This window comes from Homo sapiens, chromosome 8 (genome assembly GCF_000001405.40).
Source record: "Homo sapiens chromosome 8, GRCh38.p14 Primary Assembly".
Lineage (NCBI taxonomy): Eukaryota > Metazoa > Chordata > Mammalia > Primates > Hominidae > Homo > Homo sapiens.
Window position 1 is genome coordinate 133,366,613 of NC_000008.11, and position 11,446 is coordinate 133,378,058.

Below are 11,446 nucleotides of genomic sequence, written 5' to 3' on the forward strand. Positions count from 1 at the left end.
ACAGTTTGTAGTAGTTTCTTACAGCAGCTCTAGAAAATGAATGCAAGCATCGCCTAGCACATTTAGAGTTCATGAGAGAACACCCAGCCTCCCAAAGTCTACTGCTCTGAAATAGCACCTAGAATGTGTGTCCAAAATTCAGATTCCCAGGCTCCACCCCAGAAATACAAAACCGGAATGTTTAGGGGGTAGGCCCTGGGCAGCTGCATTTTTAACAAGCTGCCAGGTGATGCATGTGATTGGGGAGCTCCAGTTCTATCATCAACATCAAGCTTGGCCCTCCCAGCAGGCCTGGGAGACAATTACCACTGAAGAACCCAGGGAAGCTGGGAGCAAAGGAAATCTCCAAGGAAGAAGGCTGGATGGGTACAATGTCTGGGCATATAAAGTTTTTATCTATATTTTCATCTGCATATGTAGAGTGAAGACACAGTGTACACGCATTAAAATAACCTAAACAACACCTGCTCTATAGAAGAAAAGGAGAGAAAATAATCCACACTTGCCACTTGAATTATGTGGGTGGTTTTGCTTGCTCTTCCTTCCCTCCATGAGAGTGTGCCCCCAGTGGGTGTGAAAAGGAGACAAGAGCCTGTTCCCTAAGTTTCCAAGTGCTCACATGGTGTGGGACCTTTCACAACACCAGTGCTGCTCCAGGATTTAGCCAAGTGTGTTTTGATAAAATGTGGCATAAACTGTTTTTGGTATGTATTGTGTATAACTGTGCAGAGCCATTGAACAGTTATGGGGGAACAAAGTGGCAAAGACCCTGTCCTTAGGGAGCACACATTCTAACAGGGGGAGCCAGGCAACACAAGAAATAAGGAACTAAACAGCTTGTTAGTTGGAAGTTAGTTCAGAAGAAAAATAAAGCAGACTAAGGGAGATCTGGTGAGTCAGGTTGAAGGGAGGTTTCAGTTATCAATTGCCACATAACAAAACCCAAATGTAATCATTTAAAACAACACCAATTTATTATTTTTTGAAATTCTGTCATCTGGGCTGGGCTCAGCTGAGTGGTTCTTCTGCTCCATGTGGAGCCTGCTGGTGCTACACCAACCGAGTGGGCATCTCCTCTTACATTTCTGGCACCTAACCTGAGATGGCTAGAACAGTTGGGGGTTCTTGGGCATCTCTTTTCAAGTGGCTTCTCCACCAGGCTAGCTAGGGCTTCCTCACAGCATGGTGGTCTCAGGAGTGGCAGATTTCTCATATGGCAGCTGGATTTCAAGAGGGAGGAAGGGGAAGCTGTCAGTGTGAGACACGGGCAGGTACAGTGTTATTTCCACCACATGTCCTGGTGGGCGGAGTCAAAATCCAGCCCAGAGTCAAAGAGTGGGAAAAATCTTGCTGCCTTTTGCTATAAGGAGTGACATGCACATACAAAGAGGGAAGGTGTTGGAGGCAGCCATTGTTGGAAACTATCCTTCACACAGAGGGGCACTCTTTTATATAGGGGGGGGCCTCACTGATAAAGGTGCACATAAAGCAAGGCCAGAAAAAAGTAAGGGAGATAGCAATATGGATATGTGGGAGGAAAGAATTCTAGGCAGGCTGGGCATGGTGGCTCATGCCTGTATTCCCAGCACTTTGGGAGGCCAAAGTGGGTGGATCACTTGAGGTCAGGATTTCAAGACCAGCCTGGCCAACATGGCGAAATCCCATCTCTTGTAAAAAAATACAAGAACCAAAAAAAAAAATTAGCTGGGTGTGGTGGTATGCACCTGTAGTTCCAACTACGTGGGAGGCTGAGGCAGGAGAATCGCTTGAACCCAGCAGGCAGAGGTTGCAGTGAGCCAAGATTGCACCACTGCACTCCAGCCTGGTCAAGAGAGTGAGACTCCATCTCAAAAAATAACAAAATTCTTGGCAAAGGGAATAGCAGGTGCAAAAAGCCCTGAGTCAGAAACATACTTGGCATAACTGAGGACCAGCAGGGAGTCCAGTGGGGCTGGAGCAGAAGATGTGAGGCCAAAGGTATGGAGGTGAGGTTGGAGAGGGTCTAGGTTGGCCATGGGGCATTGATGGCATCAGTGCATTTGGGGTCTTAGGGGCTATGAAAGGACTTGGTTTTAACCCTGAGAAGATGTAGTGTAGAGTAACCAGCTGACCCAGTTTGTACCAGATGGAGACGATTCCTGGCATATGGGAATTTCCATGCTACAATCAGGAAATAGACAAAAGAGAAGAGGCAGGAAGACTCAAAGTATGAGGCGATTGCAGTACCCTAGGCATGGGAAGATGGCAGCCTGGCCCAGAGAGGTAGTCATGAGGCAATAAGAACAGACATGGGCAATCCCTGCATGGCATGGTTTCCCCCAGCTGCATGGCATGGGCACCTTACAAGCTTCCCAAGGGTAATTTTGATTACACAAGACTTCGACATAACCAGTTATAAATTAACTGCTGCATAAAGTACAACTTCCTTGATGCCATATGTTCGGCAATGTCCCCTGGGTCCCATTCTGCCCAGCAACCACAGGCAAATGGGCAGGGTTTGAGTCCAAGGGGTCCTCATCATGAGGCTTCCCCCTGCCCCATGGCAATGTAGAATCTCCTCTGCCAAGCTGGTTTCAACTTCCTCCCACTTCACAGCTGTTGGGCCTTAAACTCTAGCCTTAAACAAGAAACACAGCACTGCCGGGAAAACCCAGGAAACTGGCACAGGCTCCCTGAACTCAGTGATTCCCCTGCTGGTTTTCTTCTCATGCCATATGGGCCAGCTGAGGCCAGTTCCCACAGTTTGCAAGGAGACTCCACGGTTCTTGGACACGTGTGTCTTGGTCCCTGTGGTGAAGGGACCACTTCCCCAGTGGGAGCCATGGAGACCCCCTGCTCTCTGTGTCCATGGGTTACTTTGGCAGTGGTTCCCTAGCACTGGCTAGGGACTGGACATTCAGAGAGAACTGGGGCAGCCCAGCCCCGCCCCTAGGAAGAGAGATGCAGCCCGCAGGGAGGGAGACATCACACACACTTCAGTTCAGTTGCAGGGAGCCAAAGTTCTGACAGATGGAGGCCCAAGGGGATGGGGAGGCTCAGAGGAGGCCCGGGTTCCTTCCTGGAGGAAGTGGCAGACAGAGGAGGACTAACCAGGGGCAGAAGGGGAGAGGACGTGTCCCAGGCAGCCCAACAGCTGGAGTGGGAACAGGAAGCCCCATGCCTGTGGTGTGGGGGTAAAGAGGCACAGAATTTCGGTTTTGCCAGAGTGAGAAAGTAAGACGGGAAGGAGCAGAAGGAGAGGAAGAGAGGCGAGGAAGTTGGCCTCCTCCCTATAGCAGGGAGCTTGTAGAAGTTTCCATGCCAGGCAGAGACAGGGGCATCTTTCTCTGAACCATCCCCCAACCCCAAGCCTTTGGCCACCTGAGCACCCAGCGGAGGCCCCTCTGCCTGCCCCTCACACTGCACATGAGCGCCCTGCACCCGCCTCTCAGCACTTTGCACCCTCCCCTCCCTGCTCCACCCTACCTGCAAGGAAACAAAAGGCACTTTCTCCTTCCTCCCATGACCCACTTTCCAGGGCCAAAGCAGGCTGCTGACTTGATAACCTCGGCCATAGGTACCCTGCCCACAATAACATGTTTGCTCACACCCAGATTCCAGTAGGGCAGGGCCCGATAACTGGAGTGATCTTCACCACAGTGCCTCAGATGCGAAAGGAAAGGGACCTCCCTCAAGGTCCCTCAGGTCCCACCAGGCCTGGAAGTAGGTTTCCAGACTGAGTCTCCCATCACTAAAGGTAATCAAGGATCGACCGTGGAAAGATAGAGATGGTCAGGGAGAATTGGGACCAGCCAACCTCCAGTCTCCAACCTCACAGGGTCTAATGCCCGAATTCGGTGTCTACCTCCTTGTTTATTCACTGCCAATCAGTCTGCAAGCATTCGCTGAGTGCCCCTGGGTGCCAGGCAAAGACGGGGCTGGCTTCCACTCCCAGCTCTGTCTCTCGCCAGCTGTGCAACCTGGGACACATAGCTTATCTCTGTGCCTCATCTACAAAGTGAGAATTCAGAGTTACTGTGAGGGTCAGAGATAAGGCATGCAAAGTTCCCTCTATACTGGAAGTGCTCAATAAATGCTAACTGTCATCATTCCTTAAGACATGAAGAGGTCTGAGAGCTCTGGAAAGTTCTGACATTATAGGGTATCTCTGCTGGCATCCCACAGGCCAGGAGGCCCTGGTATTAGCAACTTGCTCCTTTGCAGGGAGACAGCTGGTCCCACTGAAAATGTAGACACCCTTGTGGCCACACGTTCACCTGCATGCACGCACGCCTCACACTCAGCCCCCATGCCCTTATTACAGCAGTAGCTTTGAGGGGGCTATTATCCTCCCCAGTTGTATAGACACAGAGGTAGTGTGTCCAGGGCCACCCGGAAAGTATGCAGCAGCAAAAAGTATGAAGTCCAAGCCTCTCGGTTCCACAGACATGGTGCCTGGGCCATTTCCAGACATATCCGTGCATCCCATGGTGCTGCTCCTGGAGTGTCCTTCCTGGCTGTTCAAGCTCCAGCATTTCCTGCAGGCCCCAGTTCACAGGGTCCTCCCTGAGAGGGCTTCCTGTAGGTCCTAGCAGAGTTTTAGGTTTCCCCTCAGCTCCTGCAGACCTTGCACGTGGCTCTATTATGGCCTTTTGGAAAACCACCATTAATTACCTGTTTATGTCTCCATTCCCCTGATGTGGAGCTGCCCAAAGTCCAAGACCTTGACTTGAGAGGCAAATCTGTTATCTTTCAGACCTTATCTCGCTCTGCCCTGGGTCACAGTCATTTAGGTTTCTGCCTCATCTCCCTAGCGGGCTGTCCTCACTTTAAAATATTTTAAAAACCATTTTTGTGTCTATTAGCCAGACTTTTCCTAGCCACAACTAGGTTGAGGCTGACAGTTTCCAAACCACAGGTTGGGGGCATAGGCAGGAGGGGAACATGCTGAGGGAGAGGGGCAGGGGATTGCCATAGCCTGGGAAAGTTGGGGACAGGGAGGAGGGAAGAGAAGAGGAAGCAGGAGGAGGAGGAAGGAGGAAAAGAGAGAAAGGAAGAGGAGGAAGAGGGAGAGAGGAGAAAGAGGAAAAGAATGAGGAAGAGCAGAAAGGAAGGAGGAAGCTTAATGCATATAAAATGCACAGTGAAAACAGGGTTGACTGAGGTTCAAATGTGCCTCCCCGGGCAGGTCTTTCTCCAGCTCAGCTCTGGCTTCCCAGGGCCTTGTTTCCAGGTGCCCCTGTTCCAGGCCCACAGAGAGGCTCTTGTGTGGCTGATGCAAGTCGGCCATGGAGAAGCTGTTTCCAGTAGGCTCTTTGCTGGTGGAAACCTGCACCTGCCTAGGGTCTGGTACCACACTGTGATGGGCAGCCTAGCTGTGGGCCCAGATTCTGAGGCTGGCTTTGGCACCAGCTGGCTGTGTGACAGTGAGCAGGCTACTAGGACCTTTTGAGCCTCTATTTCTTCCACCATGAAACAGGACTAGTAATTCCCAAGCCACAGGGAACTTATCAGGGTTAAATGAAATGATGGAAGCAGAGTTTGGGGTACAAGGTGGGAGGGAGCTAGGAAAATGGTAGCTCTTTTCCTGTGAGCAGCATGGTGACAGCTCAGAGATGTGTGAATGCAGCCCAGGACGTGCAGTTCCTCTTGCCGGGACTTGTGTAACTGATGGGATTTGTTGGGTGATCCTGTGACCTGTAGAGCAGGAAGGAGCTCTGGCAATGGGGAGTACGGGGGAGAAATCCATAAACCAGGGAGCCTAAAACTGCATGGCAGAAAGTTCTGAGCATCAGAGATGATGTGGCTAGTGCCACAGTCTGAGAAGTTCCCATTTTGAATTCCAGAGTCTTTGGGGAAACAGAATCATAGGTATGTGTTTCTAAGGTGTCTTTCTATTCCAAGTGTCAGAAACTCAACTCAAATGGACTTAAGACACAAGGAAAATACTCTGGCTCATGTGGCCCAAAATTCTGAAGGGGCTGCGAGCTTCAGGCAGGGCTGGATTCAGATATTTAGACATTGTCATCAGAATAGCATGTGTGTGTGTGTGTGTGTGTGTGTACGTGTGTGTGTGCATGTGTGTGCGTGCATGTGTGTGCCTGTGTGTGCACACGTGTGCTCATGCATGTATCCATGTCCATGTGCCATGGCTCTGCTCTCCTTTATGTTGTCTTCAATGTCAGGCAAACTTCCCAAGCAATGATTAAGTTTCGGTCTCGCAGCAGCTTCAGGCTTGTATCCTACCCAGTTACCATTTCCTATAGAGTTTCAGCAAAAGCCCTCTGGGCAACTCTCACTGGACTGGTTTGGGTCATGGTCCAATTAGAGTCAGTCACAATGACCAGGGAAAGGAATGTTCGCCATGGCCAGATGCACTCGTTGGCTAAATAATGTATACGCACCATCATCCCCTTCTCCTATGTCCACATGCTAATCCCTGAAACCTGGGAATGTGTTACCTTCTATGGCAAAAGAGGCTTTACAGATAGATTTAAATTAAGGATCCTGAGATGGAGACGTTCTCCCCATTTGTCTGGGTGGCCCTGGTATAATCACAATAGTCCTTATCAGGGGAAGTTGAGAGAGAAGAGGTGGCCTTGGAAGCATAGTTTGAGCCATGGTTTGAAGATGGAGGAAACGGCTTTACCAAGGAATGCAAGCAGCCTCTAGAAGCTGGGAAGGTCAAAGAAATGATTCTCCCCTAGAGCTTCCAAGAGGGAGTTTGGCCTTGCTGACACCTCTTGATCCAGCCAAACCCATTTGAAACTTCTGATGTCTGGAGCTCTAAGAAAATACAGTGTTGGCGCACCTGTAATCCCAGCTACTCAGGAGGCTGAGGCAGGAGAATCGCTTGAACCTGGGAGGCGGAGGTTGCAGTGAGCCGGGATGGCACCACTGCACTTCAGCCTGGGTTACAGAGCAAGACTCATTTCAAAAAAAAAAAAAAGAAAGAAAGAAAAAATACACTGGTGGTATTGTAAGCTGCTAATTTTGTGGCAATTTGTTACAGCAGCTGTGGGAAGCTCATGAACCAGGCTGGCTCACGTGTGCATCTCTGGAGGTGGGGCTGGGGGACAGAGAGAGTCCCCCAAACTAGATGGACTGAGTGTGAAGGAGGGACAGGAACCAAAGGCAAACAAAGCCCCTTTACCAAAGAAAGGGGGGGTAGGAGATGGGCTGGCGAAAAAGAAGGCAGAAGTCACAAAGATACAGAGGCATTGTGGGGTTCCTTTCGTAGGAAGTTCAAGATCAGGCAAAACAAGCTCATGGAAAGAAAGGCTGGGGTTGCTTCTCAGAGAAGGGCTAGATATTGACCAGGAAGGGGCACCAGGAGTCTGCGAAGCCGGGGAATGTTCTCTGTCTTGACTTCAGTGGTTGCTTCATGATGTATACATATGTAAAAAATTCTCACTCTTAAGATGTACATCCACTTAAGATGTACACACTCTGTGCATTTTTCTCTCTGGGTGAGTCATTCCTCAATTAAACAGCAGTTATTGAAGGGATAATTCATGGCAGCAAAACTCTGCCATTTGAACCCAATTAGCTGTCTTCTCTGTGCCATAATAATATTCATTCATCTCAATCTTCACTCATTTGACAGAGGAGGAAACTGAGGCCCACGTGGTGAGGTGCAGAGCACAGGCAGAGTCATGTAGCCAGACCCAAGCCTGTCTGCCATGCCCTTCCTCAGCTCTGACTGCTTTGAGCTGGCCCAGTGTCCTGCTCTGCAGGCAGGGGTGGGTCCTTCACCGGCACTGCCCCCCCCACCCCTGCCGCCCGATGTCACAGTTACTCCTTGGGGCCTCCTGGGGAGAAAACATGAGTCTCTTCTTTTTTTCAGTGCTTTTAGGCTGCTAGAAACTTCCGATCCCTCACTCACCTCTGCGCTCACTCACCTGCTCTCACTCACCGTCTGCTCTCACCCACCTTCCGCTCTCACTCTCCTTCTGCTCTCACCCACCTTCTGCTCTCACTCACCTTCCGCTCTCACTCTCCTTCTGCTCTCACCCACCTTCTGCTCTCACTCACCTTCTCAGGATCTGGTGCCCAGCTGGGGTCTCACAGCAACCCTTGTTACTGCCCCTATGGAAACACAAGACCTCCTGGGGCAACGAGGTGAGGGTGTACCTACTCTCAGCATGCCTTTTGCTATCCACTCCCTTTTATTCATTCAACAAGCATTTCCTGAGGGCTCAGGAATTGGGGGTATAGCTGCAAACGGGGCCTCAAGGGCCCTGCCCTCAGGCAGCTGACAGTCTAGACAGGAGACACGCAGTAGCCAGATGAGAAACCATATGACTCCACAGATTACCCAGGCACCTGCCATGTAAGGGGGAAGCCACCTGGGCACCCAGGAAGCCCCTGCTGCTCACAGCCATCCTCTCCTCACCTTCAGCACACACTTTGCCTTAAGAGGGAGAAGGAAACTAAGCCGGGGGTATTAAATGAGGTCCCAAGTCCTCCATCATCCAAATCCTCTGCATGGCAAAGCCAGGCTTCTCCCCAGCGAGAATCAGGTGCCCTCCCTGCTCCAGGCTGGCCCGCTGCAGTCAGCCTCCTCTGAGCCAGCCTCAGCTTCTGACTTCACGGAGGCCCTGCCATCTGCACAGCACATGCCCTCAGGTCCAGAAGAGACTGGGCAGAGCAGGTGTTCGTATCCATTTTTCAGACCTGCAAGCTGTGGCTCAGAGAGCAAAGAGTCCCACCCAGGGTTACCGTTGCTGGTGGCAGGGCCTGGCACCTCACATCCATGCACCTTGGGGTAGAATTATAGGCCTGTCTCCTCCACTGAGCTGGGCTCCAGGAGGGCTGGGGCAGGGCCTGGGTTCAACTCCTAAACCCCAAGTGGGCCCTTAGCTGGGACCTGGGAAACCAGGGTCTTTTCCCCGTCGGGGCTTGCCCAGGCCATGGGTGCTTGTCACTGCCTGGCACAATCCCAAGGCCACTGTTCCAGGCTGGAGAAGGGGAGGGCAGTGGGAAGGCTGAAGGCAAGGGAGGGCTGAGGCTGGAAGCCACCTCCCATCTTCCTCCCACATGGAGACGTGCAGCACCTCACGCCCCTCCCAGGAATCCCTCAAGGCCCAGAGGTGACTCAGCAACACGTGAGCTAAGCTGTCCGAGCTGTGCCCCACCTCTTGCCAGATGCAGAGCCCAGTGGGGGGAGGGAACGTGCCACCCGCCACGTGCACCCCTGCAGCAGCTCAGCCTGCAGCAACAGAGCCGCCCCTGCCTCTCCCTCCCAATCTCTCTCTTCTTCTTTGTGGGGACCTCACATGTTCCTTCTGCCTCCATTCAACCCTCACCTCGCTCTACAGGCATTAAACGCAGGACTGGTAGTTTGCTGTGCTGATGGTGCCACAAAAGCTACCTCCTGCAATCCTCTCTGCAATCCTGCCAGGCCAAGTGGGGAAACTGAGACTCAGAGACAGTTTGTGACTTATGCAAGGAACCGAGATTCAAACCTAGCTCAGCCTAACCCTGAAGACTGTGTGATTTCTCTTTCATGAGCCATGCTGAGTGGGATCATTGACAAACTCTACCCCCTTTTGCGCATTTTACAGAGTGGGAGGGAAGACTGAGGCACAGGGAAGGGAGGTGACTGGTGGGGGAGGGAAGGGACCAGCATAATGTTGTCCTAGGACAGAACGGTGGCTCTCTGTGTCCCCAGGGCACTGTGGCTGACACTGGGACAGACTCCCTGCCCTAGGAATGTGTGGTGAATGAATGAGTAGGTGCTGGGTGTGCTCTTTCAACGTGATGGTCACAGGCCACATGCGGCTATGGGGCACTTGACATGTGACAAAGAAACTGAATATCTCATTTGATTTTATTTTAAATGTAAAATATCAATACTGTCTACAGTTGATATATTTCAAGACATACAGCATCATTTGCACCATGCTTTAGCACTTGCAGAGCAGTTTATAGCCTCCATCTGCTCTTTCGATTCTCAAAACTCACCAAGACCCACATCTCCACTTTCCAGAAGAATGTGAAGTTCAGAGAGGTCAAGAGACTTGCCCAAGATCACACAGCCAGGAAGTGGCAATGCCAGAGAACCTGGCCACCCTGACTGTCTGCCAAATCCCTTTCCACTTTGTGCTTTAGTCACAGTTGCAAGCGCTTATATGGCAGGTCCACCTCTCAGTGCTATGCCTGCATTACCTCAATGATTCCATCCATTTCCCTAGGGGAAAAGGACACCAGTGTTAAAGTTCTAAGATGAGGAGACACAGACAAGCTGAATTCTTTGCCCACTGCTGCCTGGTTAGAAATCAGCAGAGCTGGGGTTTGCATTTGAGGTTCTGGAGCTGGACTCCGACCTTTGTTATTACGTGAGTGGCCTTTGAGTGGTGTGTGGGGCGTGTGGAGTCAGCAATGCTCCTGTCGCTGAGCACCTTGGGTGACGCCTGAGTCTCTGAGCACTGGGAAGCCACTGGGAGGTGTTAAGCTCAGACCATGGGACTTTAGGAGAGGGCTCTGCTGAGGTCTGGGGAGGGACAGCTGGGGTGAGTTCAGGACAGGCGGCGCAGGGGGAGACTGCTCAATAGCCAAGCACTGGCCACAGAAAGGAAAAAACAGAATGACTAGTTAAAGGACTTGGCTGCAAAGTCAGGCTGTGCAAGGATGCTGTCCCAGCACAGATAGGGAAGGGACACAGCCCGGAATCCCAGGCGGCAGCCGCACTGCCACGTGGAGGAACAAGAAGGCCCATGCAGAATGTGGCTGGAGGCAAAGGTGCATGGTGAGGAACAGGCGGGGTCTGTGGGTGGAGCCCCCTATGGTGCAGCAGGCTGCTGCCCAGGGCCGGTGACCCAGCAGGAGGACACAGAGACTGCAGACAGGAGGCTCCAGGGCACAGGGTTTCCACATGGCTCTGTCCTTGGTGGCCTGAGGCCCCCTGTTTAACTCCAAGCTGCAACTGCAGCCTCCTACCCAACCAAGAACACCAAACATACCTTGTTGCAGGTTTCAACCAGACATACCAACGGTGACAGGGAAGATGCCTCCACCTGCATCTTCCACCTGCTCATGGCTCTGTGACCATTCACTTTAAGAGAGGGACAAAAACCTAAAGGGAAAACAAATAAAAAGCGTCAGGTGATTCTGCTTGTAAAAGGCTGACGTATGATTAACTTTGAAGAAGGCTTAAAAGTAGCTTTATTGGGTAACAGGACAAAAAAATACTTATTTAAAGGAACTACTTATTTAAAATTGCAAACCTCCCACACACCTCATGCCCTGTTCTTTCCCATTTCTCTTCCTTTGTGGCACTGATCAGGGTTTCATATGCAGCTTTATGTAAGATACAAATTTATTTTGCTTAAAGTCTATCTTCTTCTATTGGAAAGTAAGTTCCATGAGAGAAGGAATGTTTTGGACTTTCTTGTTCACCATTGAACCTTTGGAGTCTAGAATTGTGCCTGGCATATAGCAGGTGCTCCATACGTTTCTGTTCAAT

General features: G+C 51.2%; 1 long non-coding RNA gene across 2 annotated transcripts in view, besides 1 other annotated feature; it reads right to left on the reverse strand.

Moving 5' to 3' along the window:
• Positions 1-11,056, reverse strand: part of LOC105375771 (uncharacterized) — a 32,914-nt gene extending 21,858 nt beyond the window's left edge. Inside the window, exon 1 of one of the 2 annotated variants that reach the window (XR_001746096.2) lies at positions 10,944-11,056. This is a non-coding gene — a long non-coding RNA (uncharacterized LOC105375771). The remainder of the gene's footprint in view (positions 1-10,943) is intronic. The other variant, XR_007061117.1, reaches the window with a different exon arrangement.
• Positions 9,058-9,137: an enhancer, noted in NCBI's record as "active region_27994". NCBI's record gives its function as "activates an Ori minimal core promoter by ATAC-STARR-seq in GM12878 lymphoblastoid cells {active_cell/tissue: GM12878}" and the evidence as "EXISTENCE:reporter gene assay evidence [ECO:0000049][PMID:35858748]".
• Positions 11,057-11,446: the final 390 nt, after the last annotated feature.